The 22,833-nt window shown below is 42.0% G+C and overlaps 1 protein-coding gene across 10 annotated transcripts in view, besides 1 other annotated feature; it reads left to right on the top strand.

Moving 5' to 3' along the window:
• EEFSEC (eukaryotic elongation factor, selenocysteine-tRNA specific) overlaps positions 1–22,833 on the top strand; it is a 272,743-nt gene that overhangs the window by 20,684 nt on the left and 229,226 nt on the right. The gene's annotated exons all lie outside the window — the stretch shown is intronic.
• Positions 21,138–21,678: a transcriptional cis regulatory region, noted in NCBI's record as "genic|chr3:127914145-127914685 region (GRCh37/hg19 assembly coordinates) targeted for CRISPR interference". NCBI's record gives its function as "negatively regulates H1.10 gene expression in K562 cells {active_cell/tissue: K562}" and the evidence as "EXISTENCE:mutant phenotype evidence [ECO:0000015][PMID:31784727]".

The following is a 22,833-nucleotide window of genomic DNA, read 5'->3' on the forward strand; positions in this document are numbered from 1 at the left end:
TACGAATGCCCTTTGGTGAAAAAGGCCAGTGAAACCCAGGGCTGGTTTAAGGCCTGCGCTGCAGCCTGGAAAGCAGACTAACACAAATAGACTGTGCTGCCATCACACAGAAAATACAGTTTACAATACCTACATCAGAGTTGAATCCCAGTGTACTAGGTGGCGTTCTCTTGCATTGTAGTAGGCATTTAATTGAACTTTGAGTAATTTCAGTTTTTGCAGTTTTCTTTTTGTATTTTGGAGCCAGTAAGTTTTTTTATGTTTGCAAACACTCTGTAAGCTTTGGTGCTTTGCTTATTGTGCCTAATTAATAGTTGCCTCTGGAAAACGCAGAGGAGGTTTCAGACTGCCTCAAAGAACTTCCCAGAGAGTGGAGAAGCTGCAGCACAACAGGCCTGGGCTCTGGAGTCAGGAAGATTGAAATTGGAATCTTGGCCCTTCTGCTGGCTTTTTGTATTACTGTGGACGTGTAGCTTTTCTGAGCCTTCATTTCTTCACCTGTTTAAAACAGGAGAGAAAGGGAATAATGCCTACCTTCGGGTTTGCTGTTAGAGTTAGCAGTAACTGTGATACAGTTAGCATCATTCTGGGTGCAAGGTAGACACTTGGTAAATGGAAGCAGGCCTTACTGTAGGGTTAGTGCACTGCAGGCTTGGCACCAGAATGTAGCCACTTCTGAAGTCCTTGGGGCAGTCAAAAGTCCTCTTCCCTCAGCATTGCAGACAGCAGGAAAGAGCATTGCAATTATGCAAGAGCTATGTTTCAAAGAAGGAAATGAAATTCTTGAATTTTTTTAAGGCAAAGAAGAGGGAAAAATAGATTTATTGTTTTAGTTGGCTATTCAATAGGATGCAGGATAAAGCTGGCCTCTCTCCTGTCTAATGTCATCATCGGCATTCTCTCTTTTTCTCTCCTTCTCTTCCTCCCTCTCCTCCCCCTCTGCTCTACTCCTCCTCCCTTCTCTTCCCACGCCTCCCCCCGCTCCTCCTTCCCCTCCTCTTCTTACTAGTACTGCTGCAAACCCCCCCTTTTCTCCAAGTCAACCCCAGGTCCTGAGCCTGGGATTAAATCTCATGCTCTGGAGATACTCTAATGCTAGGAATTATTTCCTCTTTTGTGGTCTTTGGTCTTTCCTTCAGGTTTCCTGTTGCTTTCTAAGGGAGGTGCCAGGTGCTGGCCCTGTGGCTAGTTTTGGCTAGTGAGGAATGCTGTAAAGCAGCTGTGACACCAGCGTGCAGCAGTCCTACTGCTGTGCAGCCTGGGCAGTGGGTGGTGACAGGGTGGCATTGGAGTGAACAAGGTGTGGGGAAGACGAGCGTAGGTGGAAAAAATGTAGACCGACCTTCTCGGTAAAACTGGCCTGGGATCCCAGGCAACATGAAGGCTGGCAGATGCTGAGGGAGTTCTCTAGGGGAGGCTGATAAAATTCGACATCACCTTACCATTTAATGAGTCCCAGATACATGGGCTATGCCAGCCCAACAGAGTGCAGGCTTTGGAAAGCCCAAATGAAAACGACATGGTCCCTGCTGTTGGGGGAACTCATAGTGCTGGGAGAAGCCTGCTGGGCCTCTTTTTCAGAAGGAGGGAGAACATGGGTTTAGTAGTGAGCCCTCTAATTAGGCCTGCAGGTAGGCCTCAGCGTGGGGCCTGGATTTGCACCCTGTCCTTCGGTTAGAGGTTTGTGACACCCATAGCTGTGCTCAGTTAAGTGGAGCAGTGGAAAGAGCTGAGGCTCAGCATGCTGGTCCACGTTTGAATCCTGATGGACCAGCTTGTGAGAATGCACAGCTCTGAGCCTCAGTTTTCTCATCTTCAAAATGGGGAGAATAAACTTACAAGTGTTTTCGTGTGTGTGAGAATCCAATGAGATAAGCTAAATGTAGTATTTATCTCAGTGTATGGAACCTATACTCTGTAAGTGGTGTTAGCTATTGTGATCATAATTTAATATGACTTAAGTTTTAATCTTTATACGACTTCATATAAAAATAAACCATTTGTCAGAAATCTTATTTTCCTTTTTTTTTTGGTTGGGAAGGCAGGCTAGATGGATGGTCTCTGATACCACGTGTAACATATGATTTTTGTCTCTGTTTTTAAATTGGTGATAATCCGATTGGAGAGAAACTAAATTAATATACTTGAAGTAATCAGAGTATGGGAGCTTAACTGCGTTGATCGGCTGTAAAATTGTGAGTGCAGTTAGAGTTAAGACAAAGAAGGCCACGAAGGGAAAAGACCCAACCAGAAGACACACACCAGAAGAGAAATGTGGGTGGAGTGTTAGCAAGCCACACGCCTTGTCTGCCGGGAGAGACCAGTCTGCTGGAAGCAGTGGCTTGTTTTATGTTTGCACACTGATAGGTACCAATCACTGCTACATGCAAATGTACCCAAAAATATGTGATGACAGGAACTTCTCTTGAAATAATTTATGCATTAATACTAAAGGAAAAAAATGCATAGAACAGCATAAATTGCAAACATGGTATAATTGAAAAAGCTTGAGGTTTAGAGTCTGAGAAACTGAATTTGAATCCTGGCTTCAACATTTGTTAGCTATATGGTCTTGGGTAGATTACCTTCTCTGGGCCTCAACTTCCTTGTTTGCAAGATCAGAAAGAACTATTTTAAGGATTAGAATATATATCTAGTACATGATAAGCTTTTAATAAACATCATTACTATTATGACCACTATTTTACTACTGATAATAAAGACTCCCGGCCTCACATGACACTCCATTGCCAGCTATAAATGTGGTCTTCCCTGAGATGCTGTAATTTTTTTCTGTAGTTTAAATGAACATACTGGATTATTATTATTATTATTATTATTATTATTTTTGAGACAGAGTCTCGCTCTGTCACCCAGGCTGGAGTGCGGTAGCATGATCTCAGCTCACTGCAACCTCCGCTTCCCAGGTTCAAGTGATTCTCCTGCCTCAGCCTCCTAGGTAGCTGGGATTACAGGCCGTACTGGATTATTGATTCAATGTTGTGGGGAGGCTTATAAGTGAATTTATATGATTAAGTTTTGGAAAGCTTTTTTTTGTTGATTCCTTATCTTAAAACCAAGATAAAAAAAGCCTTAATAGCTTAATATTTTTAGGGTCTGAGCCAGGCCTATGTGTTGGCCTGGGGAAGAAAGGGAAACATTCAGAAAGCTTTAGATTTTTTAAAGACTTGTTGGGGGTGTCCTCCTTTCAATTGGAGAAATAGTGACACCACCCCCACCCCCACCCGCATCTCTGGATTTTACTGTTTATTTTTTGGCACACGTTTCCAAATACATCAAATATAAATGATGCATTTTGAAGTTTTTAAACTATCAATAAAGCATTAGACCTTCACAGGGGTTTTAAAAAGGTCTTGCTGACTTTTCGTTTCCCCAGATTTGTAGGTCTCTGAAATTTCTGGAAGCTTTCTCTGCATCTCTAGCTGAGCCAAAACGCACCTCTGTTTAGAGATGGTAAAGAACTCCATTTGAGGAGTTCATTAAACTCCAAAGAATCTCCCCCCGTTCATTCTTTTTGTGTTTTGTTGCGGCATAGATTGCTTAAACCAAGTGAGAAATAGCTGTGAGTTTTTTTGAAACTTGGAGATACTCATTTTTGTCAAATTTGTCTTGAAGGAGCAGGCTCAAGTTTGCTTTTATAAATAGGAAAATTGATTTGCAAAGAGATGAAGGCAGAGTATCAGACAGGAGATGACGTGTGGCACATTTAGAATTTGGAGAAACCATAGCCATAAAGAATGAGTAGACACACATTCTTTATATAAATGGGTAGGCCATCTGGTTCTCAAAAAAATGCTTGTTGACAAACATGATAGACCTCAAGGTGAATTTCAGACTTTTGGATTAGTTTATGTGCATGTTGGTACATGTGCAGAAGCTCATGGCAAAATAATGTACCATAATAAATGCAAGTTCAGCAAATAAAACATAGTTCAGAGTCGAGTTATGTGGTAAAAATGCATGAACTAAGTAATTTTCAGTGAAGGTTTTATTATTTTATAAATGAGGTCTTTTTAATTGCCTTAAAAGACTCTCTTTTAGGAAAATTTGAAATATGAAAGTCATCTTATTTTCATGTAAAATGAAACATTTAAATACCTTTTTTCTCATGAAAATTTCTAGCATATAAAGTGAAACTGGAAGTAGTTTTGTTAAGTAACTTGTATTTTGGGGGCTGAGGAAAAGCACTAGAAAATTCAGCTCCTAAAGATCATTCTTCATGAGATGTCAATAGCCTCCAGACAAATTATCATGTGAATATTTTCTAAACCATAAACAAATTTTGCTACCATTGTGTTTAGACTCAAAGTTAGTTTAAAAGAGAAATTTCTAAATGAAACTTCCTAACGGTCATTCTTTCGGGGGCAGGCAGATTGGTAGAAGTAATATATAAAACCCAAGGACAAAATGGCACTTTGTTTTTTTTCTATTAAACTCTTTTGCTGTTTGCTGTTTCAAAAATTCATACTGAATCTTTACAATGAAACATTTGTGAGTCCAGGAGCCCAGAACCCTAAATGAATTCAGATTGACTTCTTTTTCTGTACGGTCTATCAAAACCTTTTCACTTTACCACAGACCAGAAATTATTTCTCACTGTTTTCTGTGCCTTACTCCTTTAATCTCCAAATACCTGTTACTACTATTGTAATTGTTATTTTATTGTAACAGTTATTGTTGTTACTGCTATTGAACAAGCTTTGGATGTTTGGTTTGAAAAGATTCAATCAAGTATTTTGATTATGATGACTAGTGCCTGTGTATAGCTAAGCAGTGAAGCAATGCAGAGATTTTATAAATATTTTTAGGGCATTTTTTTACTGTGATTGTAGGGAGTAAGATATTTGTTTTTACAGGCTGGAAAGATTGCTGTGAATTTTAACACTTGGGAGTCACAGCTTTAATTCTGATTTAGTCTACTAAAATAAATAAAAATTAGCCGTTGATACTCTTTTAAATGAATGGAACCTATTTCTGATTCTGATTTTTCTGAAGCAGTCTCTACATTTCCCAAAGTGCCACTTCCCAAGGTGGACAAAACATGTTCTGTGCAGGCGAAATGTGAGATGCTGGCTGCATAGGGGAGGAAGGGGGAGAGGAAGCTGTTTGCAAAACTACTTAAAATAAATTTGAAGGGTCAAACATGGAACACAGTTGCAAAAGAGAAAGGAAAAAATGCCTTAGGTCAGTTCAGCTAGAATCGTGTAGGCATTCGCATTGGCTAGAGGGTTAGTTGTGTATTTCTTGCTAATCAGATACAATTGGAGCAGATAATATTTGAGTATCTGAGGCTAGATCTCATTGCCTCTATATCAGGGAAATGAACCAAAAGGGGCAAGTTTTAAAAGTTTGATTTGGGGAAACAGATACCATTTAGGAGAGAGATGGTAGGCTGTGTTTACCTCGTTGTCCGAAGGCTGCTCAGACTTTAGTCAGCTCTCCAACTTGCAGCTTGTCCCTCAGAGATGCAGTAGTGGCTTGGGCCGGCAGACGGGCTTGCGTTAGCATTTCATTTAAAAGCGATCGGTACTTTTAAATTAAACATGCAAAGTTATCTTGGTGAGGTATTGAATGGGAGGTTGCTGGATTATTGAATTTGGCCCAAAATTTAGCCAGTTCAGCAGGGATTTTGGGGTCTGAAGCAATTAATATGCAAGTACATTTGAGTCAGCAAGGTAGGAGATTACTGTCTTATCAGAGTAAAAAAAAAAATTCTTTTTCCAAGATCCATACTTTTTTGGAGGTAGATAAAAACTCCATTGTTTGAGATTCATGTTTGTGAGTGACCACCTCAAATTGCCAGGTTTTAACCACTAAAACACAGAGGAGGGAATAATTGCATTTAAAATCTCTGATCTGTTATTTGCATTATGCTTAGCATAGAGGAGACCCCAATTTCCTTCCTCATGTTTTTGGTTTTTTTTTGCCATTTTGTTAACATAGATTGAGAGGAAACTTAATTTTCTTTCTTGAAAAAATCATTCACTGAACTGCTCAAAACACATGAAGTTGTTTTTGTCTCATCAGATCGAGTACTTAAGACAAAACTACGAAGGACTTCAATATATGGTTAACCTCTCATGTGCTCTGTGAATCTAGACACACTCCATCCGAGTTGCTGTATGATTTCCTGACCATAATGACCTGGCCAGGGGAACAGCTATTCCTTTGACAACACCGTTTTTCTTCTTCTACACAGCCAGAACCCTTACACCTGTTTTCCCACCTGGCAGGCAGCATTCAGAGGCATGAGGTGTATTTTTATTGTGTGGCACTCAGCCACACAAGTGGCTGTGCAGTCTTGGGGAGAAGAGGTTACTTAACACAATTTCCTTGACTTTAAAATGGGGAAAGTAAGAATGTAAGACCTTAAAGAGTTGTGAGGATGGTGTGGAACAACAGCTGGAGGGAGCCAAAGGCAGTGAATTACAGATGTGCAGTGCCATTGAGTTGCAGCTTCCTCTGCCCTTGACTCAGTGCAAGAGACTCCAGGCCCTGCATCGATGGGACCAGGCAGGCCTGTGAAAGGAGCAGAGCAGCAGGTCCAGAGCCAGCAGAACCTGCGAGCTAGTGTGCCATTGAGGCCTGGGAATTGCTGCTTTACTCCAGAAGACAGGGAACCTGGTGGTACAGCAGGAAGGCATAGTCTTTGAAAATCAGATGTGACTTAAAAATGAATTTAAAAAAAGGGGGCTAATGAAGTCCTGAAGGCCTTTATTTCTGTATTTATTGTGGAGATCTTTTTCTTCTGAAAGCTTTGATTTGACCATCTGCCTCATTTCAGGAGTTTGGAGACCTCGGAAATTTGAGAGATCACTCCTGGGTAGCAAGTTGCCCTTTTGCCAGGGCCTCCTTGTCCCTTAGAAGCATCTAGCCTTGGCTGCTTCAGGGGGCACTTCAGGACATGGATGGGGACTGACCATGTCCTTTGGCAGGTGACGCAGGGAGTCAGCCTGGGCGTGAGTGGGTGTGTGGCTGGCTCCCTGGCAAAGAGCTGCCACAGTTTCCTAAGGGGCCCCATCTTTTCCATCCAGTGGGACAGCCTTTCTATTTCAGATGAAGGATAAAATACTTGGTAGAATAACTTTCATTGTTCCCATTCCCAAATCCTTTTCTGTGTGTGGAGAGCATTCTGAGTTTGTCTGTTTGTTTACTGTCCTCCCATCAAGACCTACAGCCTATGCCGACATTCTTCTAAGCAGATCACATGTGCTTGGCCCACAAGTGGGCATTCTGAACACTTTTTTGTGTTTTCAGCCATGGTCCTCTTTTCTCAAGGGATACTGCCAGTCTCCATCCTGATCCAGATTTAGAAACACAACAAAAACAAAAGAGAAGCGGTGATATAAAATGGAAGTAGAACTTGGCGTTGGCTAGTGGAGACGGCGATAAGGAGTTTTGAAGTGTCTCTCCTTTGAAAGGTCTTTCTTGTTGGATCACTGCTCCCCCAGTATGTCTGATCCTTATGCACAGCCCACCTGGGCTGGTGGGGGGCGGTCCTCATCACACTGAGGCTGGGTTTCTTTAACTTCAGAAATGTCCTGAGGAATAAGAAATGAAACATGAGCAATACAGGGTTAATGTTGTCAAGCCATGTTTGTTTTTGTTTTTGTTTTTCTTTGTTTCTTTTTGTTTGTTTGTTTTTTGATACGAAGTCTCGCTCTATTGCTCAGGCTGGAGTGCAATGGCACGATCTCAGCTCACTGGAACCTCCGCCTCCCGGGTTCAAGCGATTCTCCCACCTCAGGCTCCTGAGTAGCTGGGATTACAGGCATGTGCCACCATGCCCGGCTAATTTTTGTATTTTTAGTAGAGACGGGGTTTCACCATGTTGGCCAGGCTGGTCTTGGCTCCTGCCCTCAAGTGATCCGCCTGCCTTGGGCTCCCAAAGTGCCGGGATTACAGGCATGAGCCACTGTGCCTGGCCTATTTTTGTTTTCTTTGATGGGGCAAGGTACCCAGATTAAGTTTATAGACGACAGCTAATGATAATCAAGTTCCATGTTTGAGTGCCTATTAAATTATCTTGTGTAATGCCCCCGCACATCTGGGAGAAGAGTTTTGTTTTGGTTTTAGTTTTTTAAATAAATGAAGAAAAGGTGACTCAGACAGGTTAAGTAACTATCCAAAAAAAAAAAAAAAATTCTGTAGTAAGAAGGTGGTCAATCCAGGATTTTAAAAAAGTATTACATTTTGGATTAGGTTATATATGTACATGATAGAAAACTTAAATAATGTTAAAGGATATGCAGAGAAAAGTATGCCTTCCTTCTGTCTCTGTGTTTCAGTCTCCTTACACTCCCCGCACTGCCAACACACATCATCAGTTTTCATTTGTGAGCGTGTTTTGGAGATGGGTCCATATTACTTTATAATAGTTTCCCCTCATTCTTTGTATTGACAACATACTGTTCCACTCTCAGGATGACTTGTGCTATCTCGAACAGTAGTGTCTGGAAGGCCTTGGTTATTCTGTCTTTTATGGTTGTGTGTACATGTCACAGGGTCAGTTCCTAGAGACAGTGCCTGCTGGAACCTGGGTGTCCTCACACCCAGACCTGTGCAGTAGGGGTTAGGGTTGCTGCTCTTGCCTAGAAGGAGCCAGAGGGCTCCCACCAGCCCTGCTGCTAGCAGAGACCTGGCGACCACTGTGGCTTTGGCACTTGGCCTGCTTCCCACCAGCCACAGAGATCGGGGCGGGGGGGTGGGGTGGTTGGTCTAGTAGTGGGGGTGGGCGGGTTGCCAGAGAGAAGGAGCGGGAAGAGGCCTTTCTTTTCAATTTACCCTCTTTTTGTATGCCATAATCTTGTTTTTCTTTGGAATCCCGCTGATCCAGGCCTGAATTCTAGTTTTACCATTTTACTAGCTGAATGATCTTTGTCAACTTATTTAACCTTTCTGAACTTAAGGCTTACCATGAGTATTAAGGCTTACCATGAGTAAAAATGGTGCTCAGAATACCTACCTGTTAGAGTTGCTTCGAGAACATAGAATAAATATTACTGCTAGTACTTTATTGAGCTTTGACTATGTCAGGTACTTCCTAAACCCTTTAACCTGTGGTAATCTGATTTAATCCTGATAAACCTCTAATGAGTTAGACACTGTTCCTATCCTCTTATATGTGACTTGAAATCTAAAAATGTTAGTAAACATTTGACCCCAACCTGTTGGGCTCCCAAGCCCATGATCTTGACCACTAGGCTATGCTGCCTCCCATAAATGCAGCCAGAGTTGATTGTGTATACTCTATGTCTGTCTAATCATTGAATTCTACTTCTGGTGACACTTAAGCTCTTTTCCTGCACTTTAATGTTAGAGATCATCATTCTTCCTAAGGAAGGCTTTTGGAGCGTTGCTTCTTACGGTGCTTATTGGAAATGTGACCTGGAACAAGATGCATCATTTCTTTGCACCTCAGTTTCCATCTTTGTAAAACATTGATAGCAATACTTACCTTCTCATGGTATTGTGAGAACCGATGCGTGCAGGGCACCCTACATACTAACTGCCTGGTGGATAGCGGGTCCTCAGTTGATGTGTTGTTGTCTTTTTCTTCCTCATTTGGGTCATTCATAGACTACTGGAGAGATATTCGAGAATTCTTCAAGTGTTTGTAGAATGGCTTGACATAAGTTGCTTTCCATTCCTTATCTGTGTAAGGAGTGATGTTCTGGAGTATTAAATTGGGTGAGTGTGGGCACAGTTTGTGTTCTGAGGTTTAGTGTGACTGTGAAAACATGCTTTTTGCATTGCCTGAGAGGATACAATAGACCACCAGCAGGAACAGCAGTGCAGACCACTGAGCAGCTTTTTGTAGCCCTGGACCCAGTGTTCAGTGTTCCAGAGAGATGGTAAGAATAAAGGGAGAGGCATCGAAGCCAAACAATTCCTAGATTTGATTGATCTGGCCTTCCAGATACCCTCAAATTCCACCAACAACTACTTTTAGTGTTTTTTCCTATTTTCTTCCAAGTTAAAAAAAATTGTGATAACATATTCATAATATAAGATTTACCTTTTTGACTATATTTAAGTATACAGTTCAGTGGCATTAAGTACATGCATATTGTAGTGCAACCATCACTGCTATCCATCTCCAGAACCTTTTCATCTTCTCAAACTGCAACTCTGTATCCATTACACACTTACTCCTTATTTCCCCCTCCCACCAGCTCCTGGCCACCGCCATTCTATTCTCTCTGTGACTTGGACTACTAAGTGGAATCATACAGTATTTGCCCTTCTGTGACTGGTTTATTTCACTCGGCATAATGTTCTCAGAGTTCATACATGTTGTAGCATGTGTCAGAATTTCCTTTTTTAAGGCTGAATAATATTCCTTTGTATATATATTTTCCCATGTTTTAAAAGTATAGGGTAAGTATGTAAGTATCTATCAGTATATTTATTTATAGCCATCTCTGTAGTTCTGTATTTTGCTTTGGCTTAACGTGTATTTTTCAAGTTATTACTTAAATTTTGTGAGTATTGTTAGTGATACCATACTGTTCTGATTCTGTTTAAAATGAAGGACATTTTTTTTCCTTATCTCTTATAGAATGAACTAGCTGTATTACACTGTTTGCATATTTCTAGAATTGACATTTCCAAGGGACAGTTTAGAAATTCTCAATTGTATCACAAACTCTGCAGTGATTGTATTTTGCACCTTACCCAGACATGGTAAGAAATACAGGTCTGGCATGGCATGATGGCTCATGGCTGTAATCCCAGCATTTTGGGAGGCTGAAGCTAGAGATTGTTTGAGCCCAGGAGTTTGAGGCTACAGTGTGCTATGATTGTGTCACTGCACTCCAGCTTGGGTAACGGAGCGAGATCCTGAAAGAAGGAAAAAAACAAATACAAGTCTGCCATACCTTATCCATAAATTTGAAAATTCAAATAGCTCTGTAAACTGAAAGCAGTTTTTTGGAGTTTGGATGCAAAACCCCATCTGAACTGACTGAATCTTTTATTTTTCCCATTTAGTGTGAATATTTAATGTTTGATTATAGGGAATGGCCCCATCGCTGCTGGGGTATTATATAATGTATGATATATTTATGTATGTACAGAATTATCTTTTGGGGGGATAATTATTTTAATTTATTCATCATTTTATAACTTAATATTATGAAGCACTTCATATATACCTTCTTTTTACTAAGCAATAAAACAGACTTTTTCTGTGACATTAATTTATAATAGAATATTCTTTTGTGTGCAACCATATCATATTTTTTTAGAAACTTTTTTTTTTTCTTTTTTGAGACAGAGTTTCACTCTTATCACCCAGGCTGGAGTGCAATGACGTGAATTAAATGGAATTATATATACTTTATGACCTTTCGTGTCTGGCTTCTTTCACTTAGTGTAATATTTTCTTTTTTTGAAATAAGGTCTTGCTCTGTTGCTCAGGCTGGAGTGCAGTGGTATGATCATAGCTCACTGCAGCCTTGAACTCTTGGGCTCAAGCAATCCTCCTGCTTCAGCATCCCAAAGTGCTACGATTACAGGTGTTAGCTACCACGCCTGGCCAGTGTAATATTTCTAGATTCACCCATATTGTAGCCTGAGTCTCTACTTCATTCCTTTTTAAGACTGAATAATATTCCATGCCTGGATATACCACATTTAAAGAATCCATTCATTAGTTGATAGGCATTTGGATTGTTTTCACTTTTTGATTATTATGAATAATGCTACCATGAGGAGTCATGTACATGTTTTTGTGTAAACATACATTTCTGTTCTCCTGGGTATAAATATACCCAGGAATTGCTGGATCATATGGTAACTCTATGTTACCTTTATGAGGAACTGCCAAACTTTTTCACAGCTGGTACACCATTTTTCACTCTCACAGCAATGTATGAAGGTTCTGGTTTCTCCACATCCTCACCAACACTTGCTATTGTCTGTCTGTCTGATCATATCCATCCTAGTGGGTGTGAAGTGCTATCTCATTGTGATTTTGATTTGCATTTCCCTGATGGTGAGTGATATTTAGCATCTTTTCATGTGGTTGTTAATATATCTTCTTTGGAGAAATGCCTATTCAGCTCTTTGTTCGTTTAAAAATTGAGTTGGCTTTTTATTGTTGACTCATAAGAGTTTTTAATATATTCTAGATAGTTCCTTATCAGATATATGATTTGCAAATATTTTCTCCCATTCTGTGGGTTGTCTTTTCACTTTCTTGATAGTGTCCTTTGAAGCACAGAAGCTTTTAATTTTTGAAACATTCAAGTTTATTTATTTACTTTTGTTGCTTGTGCTTTTGGTGTCATATCTAAGAAATAAGTGCTTAATCCAAGGTTACATAGATGCATACCTATGTTTTCTTCTCAGTTTTATAGTTTTAGCTCTTCCATTTAAGTCTTTCATCTATTTGGAGTTGATTTTTGTATATGGCATGAAGTAGAGGTCCAACTTAATTCTTTAGCTTGTGGATATCTGGTTGTCCCAGTTTTTGTTAAAAAAACTGTTCCCTCTATTGATTTGTGTTGGCACTCTTAACAAAAATCAGTTGACTGTAAATGTGAAAGTCTCTTTCTAGATTCTCAATATTTCATTGATTTATATGTCTAGCCTTATTCTGAACTATTTTTTTTTTAAAGTTCTAAATTCTGAAACATTTTCCCCCAGCGGCTTAGGGATTAGGTAATAATAGTAGATTGCTACTGAGCCATGGGGAGGGCTGTTTCTCCAACTCCTCAGATATCCCTGTGCTTACCTTCCCAGCCTGTCTTCCTGTGTGAGCTCCATGGCACACCCTAGGGACAGTGTCTGAGGACAGTGCTGAGGCTCATGGCCACAGGAGTGGTAGAAGCAGGTTTTCAGACTGATAATGCCATTACATTTCAAACTTTGAACATTTCAAACCTTGAACATGAATATGAGATGTTGGAGATCCCAACTGGGAAGGTGTAGCTACCCAGCAAGTCTCCCATCTCTGAATACTCTGCTATACAGGAGTGGGTACCCAGGGACCACATTTGAACCCGGGCACCCTGACTGCCTCCAGCCCCATTGATATTTAATTGGTTCAGGGATAGATACCTGAGCCAAGATGTACTAAACAAGTTCTTCTGTGGGAATTTGAAACTAGGGAAAGAGAGGCAGGGACACTAGGAGTTCTGGAAATCAGCATGTTGATAGAAATAGTGTGCTAGACCAGAGAGAAGGCTGGGAGCTGTTCTGCTTCTGGGCTTTCCCAGAGCTTCTGTGAGGTACCTGGAATCCTTCTTGTAAACCCTCCTTTTTGTTTACAATTCTTCAGCCAGTTGGTTACTTGTAAGAAAAAAAAATTCTTCATCAATGAATGTGTTCACTTGGTGAAGAGTGGATGTCATTTTTGTTATTTTTTTCTTTTGCAAATGTACATTTAGCACCTGCTGAGAGCAGGACATTCTGAATGTTAGGCACTGAGAACATCTGGCAGATAAAAGGTGGCCCTGCCCCTTGGGACTCACTGTTCAATGAGTTGGAGGGTAGGGGATAGACCATAAAGCAGATGTACTGAATATGAGATAGGTGCATCAAAGACCATACAATACACCAGAGGGTTTCAGAGGTGCGAGTCAGGGAAGACTTCACAGAAAAAGTGACATTTGTGTGGAGTCCTCATGGATGATTAAAGTCTGCCTGGTAGCAATGAGAGATTCAGTTTCAGAAAATGGGCATTGACTGCAGGGAGCCTAGAAGTATGAAGGATTTGGAGGGTTTGGACAATCCAGAGAAGGCTTGTGTGATTGGTCACAAGTGTAAGCAGCCAATGGTGAGCTGGTGAAGCAGGTTGGAAGCAGATTATGAAGGGCTTTGTATCTTGGACCAAAACATTTACACTTTGTTCTGGGGGCAGCAGACAGGTCTGTGGTTTACAGAGTTTACCCTGGCATTGATGGGTTGGAGGGGAGAGAGGCCAGGAGACCATTTTGGAGGGCAGTGCCAGTGGTTAGGGTGATGAGGGAGGGATGGAAAGGAAGGAAGGCCGAAACCCAAGTTAGGAAATAGACTCTCCAGACTGGGAGACTAGCTCTAGGTAGAGGGTACAGTGCAGTTTCAAGGAGACAGGGAACGAAAGAGGTACTTGGAACAGAATGGGTATGAGGTATGGGTGTGGGATGAGGATGCTGCTGCGATCATGATGAGGGCTGGCAGGCAGGCAGGCTGAGGGGGTGGCAGGCATGCAGCAGCCCCAGGGCTTCTTTTTTGTGGGGTAGATGAAAGGGGGTCCATTTGCCTTTGTTTTATGCCAATCAGGTGCAGCTTTTGGATTCCTGGCTAGCTGCCATGTTGCCCTCAGGCAAAAGTTTGGCGGCCTTGGTATTGTTGACCCTTTGTACTAGATGGTGAAAGTATCTGCCTTGCAGACCAGGCCCTGGAATCAGGTATTTGGAATGCATAGCTAATGTGTTCCACTCCAGTCCGTTGGTATTATTGTTCCACAGTATCGCATCTAATTGACTATTTCTAAATGTTCTTGTATATTTTGACTGTACAAGCAAAGTAGGTTTCCAGCAGCCCCTCTTTGCCGGGGCTGCCTCATCTGCAAAGTTTGCTGGCACCACCCTCCTTTCCCAGGGTTCCTGGTTCCTTTCTGCCTGGGAGCCCTGTGCCTGAGGGGGCATGGTGATCTTACTGGATTCCCCTCCCAGCCTTGCCCACCTGTTGTCCTCCAGCCCCGCTCACCTGGGAGTTTGATAGAGGGGCTATTGTGTGCAAAGGATGGTTCAGCATGGACTGCCTTTCCTCCCTTGTGAGTCTGTAGGGGAGTTGGACAGGTAGGGGTAGACCCCCAGGCACTGATGGAGCCCAGCCTCGGTGCCCAGTACCTTTACATGGGGGGGGCTCCCAAAGTTGGATACTTCCAGCACAGCAAGACAGGCACTGCTATTAGGGGCTGCCCAGATCAAGTGACACTGAATCATCTGCTGAGCAAGTCCTTCCTTTCTCAGTCCGTGGGCAGCCCCTCTGGCCATGTGGAGGAGGAGGCCTGTGAGCACTGGTTCTCTGGACATTGCTCATCTCCCTCCTTGACAAGCGCCTCGCAGAAGACAAAACTCCATTCACACAATGCATAATGACAGCTTAGGTCAATGATGGAAGGTATATATGATGGTGGTCCCATAAGATTATAGTGGGGCCAAAAAATTCCTATAGCCTAGTGCTGTCATAGCTGTGGTAACATCATAGAGCAGGTTACTCAGGTGTTTGTGGTGATGCTGGTGTAACCAAACCTACTGTGCTCAGTCTTATAGCACATATAGTTACTTATAGTACCTATTATGATAATACATGACTGGTTTATGTCTTTACTATACTAGACTTGTTATTATTTTAGTGTGTACTCCTTCGACTTCTTTTCTTTTTTTTTTTTTTTTTCCGAGCCAGGGTCTGGCTGTCTTCCAGGCTGCAGTGCAGTGGCACCATCTCAGCTCACTGCAACCTCTGCCGCCTTGCCTCAAGCGATCCTCCCACCTCAGCCTCCTGAGTAGCTGGGACTAAGGTCCTCACCACCATGCCCAGCTAGTTTTTGTATTTATTTTGTAGAGACGGGGGTCTCACCATGTTGCCCAGGCTGATCTCGAACTTCTGGGCTCAAGTGATCCACCTGCCAAGGCATTGCAAAGTGCTAGGATGAGCCACTGTGCCCAGCCTCCTTCTACTTCCTTTTGTGTCTTTTTTTGGAGATGGAGTCTCGCTCTGTTGCCCAGGCTGGAGTGCAGTGGCACGATCTTGGCTCACTGCAACCTCCACCTCCCGGATTCAAGCAGTTCTCCTGCCTCAGCCTCCTGAGTAGCTGGGACTACAGGTGCATGCTGCCATGCCTGGCAAATTTTCTGTATTTTAGTAGAGACGGGGTTTCACCATGTCCCCCAGGCTGGTCTCGAACTCCTGAGCTCAGGCAATGCACCCGCCTCAGCCTCTCAAAGTGCTAGGATTACAGGCATGAGCCACCATGCCCAGCCGCTCCTTCTACTTCTAACAACAAAAATTAACTGTAAAACAGCCTCAGGCAGGTCCTTCAGGATGTATCCAGGAGAAGGCATTGTCATCACAGGAGGTGACAGCTCCATGCATGTTACTGCCTCTGAAGACCTTCCAGTGGAACAAGATGTATGAGGTGGAAGACAGTGATGTTGATGATCCTGACCCTGTGTAGGCCTAGGCTAATGTGCATGTTTGTGTTTTAGTTTTTAACAAAAAAGTTTAAAAAGTAAAAGAAAAAAGTTTTTAATGGAAAAAGGCTTATAGAATAAGGATATAAAGAAAGAAAATATTTTTATACAGCTGTACAGTGTGTTTGTGTTTTAAGCTAAGTGTTATTACAAGAGTCAAAAAGTTAAAAAATTTTAAAGTTTATAAAGTAAAAAAGTTATAGTGAACTAAGATTAATTTATTATTAAAGAAAAATGTTTTTATTATAAATTTAGTGTTGTCTAAGTGTCCATTGTTTGTAGAGCCTACAGGAGTGCAGAGTCATGCCCTAGGCCTTCACATTCACTCAACCACTCACTCACTGACTCGCCCAGAACACCTTCCAGTCCTGTAAGCTCCATTTATGCTAAGTACTCTATACAGGGGTACCCTTTTTAATCTTTTATGTTGTATTTTTACTGTCCCTTTTTTATGTTTAGATACAGTTCAAGTACACAGATACCACTGGGTTACAATTGCCTGCAGTATTTAGTACAGTCACCTGCTTCAGCTCACTGTGCCTCGCCTGGGGGTATTTTTTTTATTATGGTAAAAAATATATAACATTTACCATTCCCATTTTTAAATGTACAGGTTTGTAGCCTAGGAGCAATAGGCTATTTCACACAACCTAGGTGTGTGGTAGGCTCTGCCATCTAGGTTTGTGTAAGTGCTCTCTATGATGTTTGCACAAAGATGAAATTGCCTAATGACACATTTCTCAGAATGTATCTTCATCATTAAGCAATGCATGGTTGTATACCAACATAGCTTGATATGTATATTTTTAATGGTTGCCTTCTAATATTGCCATGTCGTGGTTTCATCTATGGCTGCCATATAAAGTTTCCTTTTTTGGGGGGCTATTTTTTATTTTTAAATTTATTTGTTTACAAAATTAAAAAAATTATTTTATTTTATAGATGGGTCACATTCTCTTGCCCAGGCTGGAGTGTGGTGGCATGATCATTTAGCTCACTGCAACATGGGCTCAAGCAATCCTCCCACCTTAGCCTCTTGAGTAGCTTAGACTTCAGCTCACTGTGCCTGGCCTGGGGGTATTTTTTTTATTATGGTAAAAAATATATAACATTTACCATTCCCATTTTTAAATGTACAATTCAGTGGCATTAAGTAGATTCACATTGTTGTGCAACTGTCACCACTATTATTTCTAACTTTCCATCACCCCAAACTGAAACTCTGTACCCATTAAACACTACCTCCCCATTCTCCCTACTCCCAGCCCCTGGCATCCACCATTCTACTTTTTGTTTATAAATTTGACTACTCTAGGGAACTCATATAAGCAGAATCATACAGGCTTGGTGGCTGGTTTATTTCATTTAGCATAATGTCCTCAAGGTTCATCCACGTTGTATCATGGATCAGAATTTCTTTCCCTTTTAAGGGAAAGATAATATTCCAGCATATCGATAGACCACATTTTGTTTTTCCCTCCATCTATTAATGGGCACTTGGGTTGTTTCCACCTTTTGCCTGTTGTGAATAGTGCTTCTTGAATATTGGTGTCTAGGTATCTGTTTGATTCTTGTTTTCAAGTCCTTCGAGAATTCCTATACCTAGGAGAGGAATTACTGGATAAAGTGGTATCAATGTTCCTTTAAGGGAAAAAAGTGGGTTTTATAAAACAGGGCAGGGCAAAATTAGTTATTTAAAGAAAAATATTAAGTAATATTGTGTGTGGCATTGTGATGGAGTAGAAATGATGGAGCTGACCCTGGAGTGGTGGCTGGTGCAGTGTGCAAATGTCTTACCAGCCTGGCAGAATTCTGTGTGGCCTTGGCTGTGACTTCACTCCGGGTCTCAACCTATCCATCTGTAAAACAGGGCTGATGCCTCGTTTCTCTCCAGGCTGCCATGTGAACCTGACACGGTTGGGTGTGAGAAGCCTGCTGGTTCTCAGGTGTGCCCCTTTCCCGATTTTTCTCTGCGTGCTTAGAGACCATGGTGGCTGCAGCAGGCCCTGGACCCGCTCTTCTCCTGCAGATTCATTCAAGGCTGTGCCTGTGGGGTTCCGAGCTGGGCTCTTGAGCTTCAGCTGGCTGTTTCCTAATCACTTTCTTTCCTGTCACCCTGGCTGCCTGCTACTGTGACACCTAGAACATTACCCCAGAAGATCAGGACTCTTCCTGGACTTCACAAACGTATTTTTATAGTGCTTACACTCTTCTGCCAATTTTATCTGTAGCTTGTCTTTTTCTTCCCCTCTCCTATTTAACTTCTTTGTCTTTTGACCCCTTTCATTCAGTTAATTGATTGATTAACTCTTTCCACAGTATTTGTTGGACACCTGTGATACTGGAAGGAGGAGCATATATTTGTTGGGGGAGGAGGTACAGAAAAGATACAGAAGACACCTCCCACCCCCAATACTTTTAGTCTACTTGGGTAGAAAAGGAAGACATTCTTGAAATTGGTGGGTAGTAGTAATAATGTGTAAAGCATCCTAACAGGTATTTTTCTTTCTGGAGACTATCCAAGCTTCAGGGCAGGGGGGCATCTGCTTGCTTTAAACAGGGACTGTACAGCACTGGTAGAAAAGAGCCTGGGTTTTAGAGCCTGGGTTCAAATGTTGGCACTGTCCCTTACCAGCTACATGATCTTACGTGACAACATGGGAATTCCATCATGTCCCTTCAGGGTTAAATGGGACGGCTTGCATGAATCCTCTGCAGGGTGGCCACACTCAGGGACCTTGCTGTTAGTGACTGTGTCCTCCTCCCAAGGAGTGGGACTCCCCAGACTTCACTTATGCTGTCCTTATGTATCACTGAAGTTCCCCTCTCAGGACTTGGGGGAATCAGGGGATGCTCTAAACCAGTGGGCTCAGACACAGGTCCTATTGTATAGCCACATACCCCAGAAAGAAAGTGCCCTCCAGACCAGCCTCCAAGGGAGGCAGAGGAGGCAAGGGCTCACCATTGTTTTCCAGCAGGGTGCATCTGAGAGGGTGTTGCTCTCTGCAGAGCAGGCTCCTGTGGCTGTGACAGAGCTAACCTACTGGCACTTCGGGGGAGGGGCTGCCCTCTGCCTGTAGCCTGACTATTGGCAAGGGCCCATTTTTCTGCATTCATTCATTTATCCAGTTACGTAATTTTTTCCCTTCAGATGATCATTTGCCTGGTCATTTGGGTGGTAATAATGATTCTAAAATATTATTTAAAAATGAATTGACTTATTTGCTTTGTAGCAGCCACCATACCTATGTGTTTTACAAATGTCACCTTCTGTGATCCTTACCATGACCCTGTAAGGACCACATCATCAGTTCCCATTACTGAGCCTCAGCAATGGCAAGTGACTTGCCTAGGATCACACACTAATCCGCAGGCCAGGATTTGGACATAACTTGTACAACTCCAAAGCCATTTCTCCTAGTTGCTCGGCTGTCCCTCTCTTTGCCTTCCTCCCTCCAGAGGAGGAGGGACTCTGATATCAGCAGATGTGTTTTTCCTCTGGCATGGGAGGACAGAAGGGAAGAGAAACAGTATAGTTATCTAAGTGAGAATGAGCCATGAAGGCTGAGTAGCGGTTTTCTGTGCAAGTAAAATCTTATCTTGGGGGATAGAGGGAAGACCATCTTCCCCCATCCCCCAACTTGAATGAAGAAGAAAAAACCCAACCAAAAATGACATAAAGCTAAGCTGCCACAAAGGCTGCACTTACCCAATATTCCTGGTGTGGAGGTAAGTTTTGCACCCCAATTTCTCCTCTCTTCCGTCTTGGGACGTGAAATCTTTTCAGCTCATAAAAAAGACAGGGTGCCCACATGGTGTTTTTAATGGAGAAAATAAGGCTGGGAGGTGTCTGAGCCTCTTGGGACTTCCGGAGAGCTTGGACACCACAGCCTTCCCAGCTGGAGGGTGCTGAGCTCCCACCTGGATTGAGGATCTGTGCTGTCCTGAGGCCATTGTTCTTTTTCCCAGCACAGGATGGAAAAGGCTCCTCTGGGAGGCATCTGCAGGTCAGATGCTTTTGGGGTGGCAGGGTGCAGCAGTGGCTGGATGGGACTGGGATGGTTGTTTTAACAATAAGTTATTAGAGAACTTCAGCTTGGCCCTGCCTTTCAGGGAACTAATTCTGGGAAATCTATCTGGATCCTGAAATAAGTTCTGCTTTGTGATTTCATAATTCCTCTTTCAGGGAATAATCTGAAATGAGCCAGAGCTTTATGCACAAAAATGTTCTTCACAGCATTATTTATAAGAGCAAAAAATTGGGAGCCACCCAAATGAAGCAAAATAAGGTACTTTGTGCACCCTTCTTTAAAATGATATTTATGAAGAAAATTTAAAAATGTGAAAAGTCATCCTACATATGTTAAGTGAAAAAAAGCAGGGCAAGGAATTCTTTTTGAGTTCAGTAATATACAAAATACATATGTGCAAGAAAAAGACTAGAAAGAAAGACATTAAATGTTAACAGTAGCTAACATTAGGGGCTAAGATCTAGGTGACTTTTAATTTCCTTTTATAAAGAATTTTTTTTCCCCAAGGCTTTTTCTTTCCCAATGTTATTTTCTAAAATTTCTACAATGAACATTATTAGTTGAATAGTTACCCTCCTCCCTCCTCGCTCCTCCTTCTTGGAGCTGGTCAGCCAGTGCTGCTTTTCTCCTCCTCCCACCCCTCCCCTTCTCCCACCCGAGCACTGTGGCTGGTTTCCAGTAGCAGCAGTACAATTAATATTTTACACGATCTTCGCCTAAAGTCTGGTGGTAGTTTGAGATACTTCTTTTAGTCTGAACTCATTTTCAAATTTAGGGCCCAGGCTGTTCTATGGCTTTAGGAGTTGAGGAAACATGAAAGAAATCTGCCTTCTATTTGTTTAAATATTAAAGCATTTAAAATATTTTTTCCTTCTTTCAGATAATCAAAACACAGCTGACTTGCCATTGCTGCACAGTGCTGAAAGGTAGCTCTCAATGTGGGTGATTAACACCATGGCAATGGAGGGGGCAAGTTTTAAAGAAATAATTAAATAGATCTTGGAAAATCATTATTCTTTTGTCTCATAATAGAAAACCAGGCCTGTGTCTGCAGCTGAGCACAGTATTTGGTGATCAGCAGATAAAAGGACACTCCAAAGCCAAACTTGGAGCCACTGTCGTCTACCAGATGCATTTTATCTGGCGGAATGTGTGGGACCTGACAGACACAGGGGAATCCAGGCTCTGCGAACCTCTGCTGAGCCTCGTCTCCTCTCTCCATAATGGAGATGAAGGCGCCTCCCATTCACAAGTGTAGTTATTGCATAAGTGTTTCCCTCTGTCAGTTTTCAGTGGCTAAACCTTCCTATATAATATCCTTGGAAGATAGGTTGGGGCTTGGGCTTGAGGTCAAGATGGTAGAGACAAGGGATTTGTCCCAGACTTCATGGCAAGAGTGAGACTGGCATGTCTAGATTAGTGATTAGAGAGCTCTTTGAGAAACTGGGGAGAGCTCTGGCCCTTCTCCCAAACAGAACGCATATAACTATTTCAGGAAGTGTTTGGACCCAAGATGAAGAACTGCTCTTCAAGAAGCAACCGTGGCCTGGCTAGACTTGGGCAATGGCATGACCCTGTGGGTATTGCCCCCACCGCCTTTCTGCGAGGGCCTGCAAAACGGGGCCCTTGTCCACGTGTGTGGGTCAGTGCTGTAGCCAGGAGGAAGGCCTGAGACAGTGTGTCTGTGACTCTCTGCTGTTTGATTGTGTGAGAGTCTGTATGTGAAGAGGAAAATAAAAAGGAAATGAAACCAATTTATAATAATTGTCTTCTGACATATATAACTCCAAAAAACTGCAAAGACAAGGTTCTGAGCCAAATGAAATTATTCGTTTATGATCAATTAAATGATGAACATAAACACAAGAAACACACGATTTTCCTTGCTCAAGATTTGGCATGTGTATTTTCTGATTCTACTATATATGTAAGATTTTTATTTAAAACAAAAGTGAGTTGTTGTGCGTATCATGGGATGTGTGCTGTGATACAAATACAGTGGCCCTTTATATATATTTAAATACAAAGTCACTTTTTTCTGATTATAAAACTAATACAGACCTATTTTAGAAACTTTGGGTAATAACAGTATAAGGAAGAAAATAATAATCATCTGGTTTACTTGATGGAAATTAAACATTTCATGTAATTTTTTTTGGCTGCTTTTAAATTTAACATTATATCCTAAACATTTTTCCCATGCCATTAATCACTTTCTGTAAACATCATTTTTTCATGCCTGCAGGAGTTCCATTGTATGAATACACAATTTAAGTGTTTGGTTGTGTGGAAAGCATATAAGCTCTGACTTGAAGAAATGTGACCCAAACCTGTGTCTGTCACTTACTGGCACTCGATGGCCTCTGGAACCTCAGTCTCCTTGTCTGCAGAAGGGAGACTGAATGACAGTACCTTGGGTTACTGAGAGACCTCAAAGAGCCTCGCACAGTGTGGGGCATGCACTCAGCAAATAGTTGCCATTATTATTATTGGTGACAGCAGTGGCAGCTTTGTCTTGTGGCTCCTCTAGGGAGAGTTTGGATGCTCGCAGTATGTTAAGAATTTGCAGCCCAGCTCTGGCCTCGTTTTTTAAA

Source organism: Homo sapiens, chromosome 3, assembly GCF_000001405.40.
Source record: "Homo sapiens chromosome 3, GRCh38.p14 Primary Assembly".
NCBI lineage: Eukaryota > Metazoa > Chordata > Mammalia > Primates > Hominidae > Homo > Homo sapiens.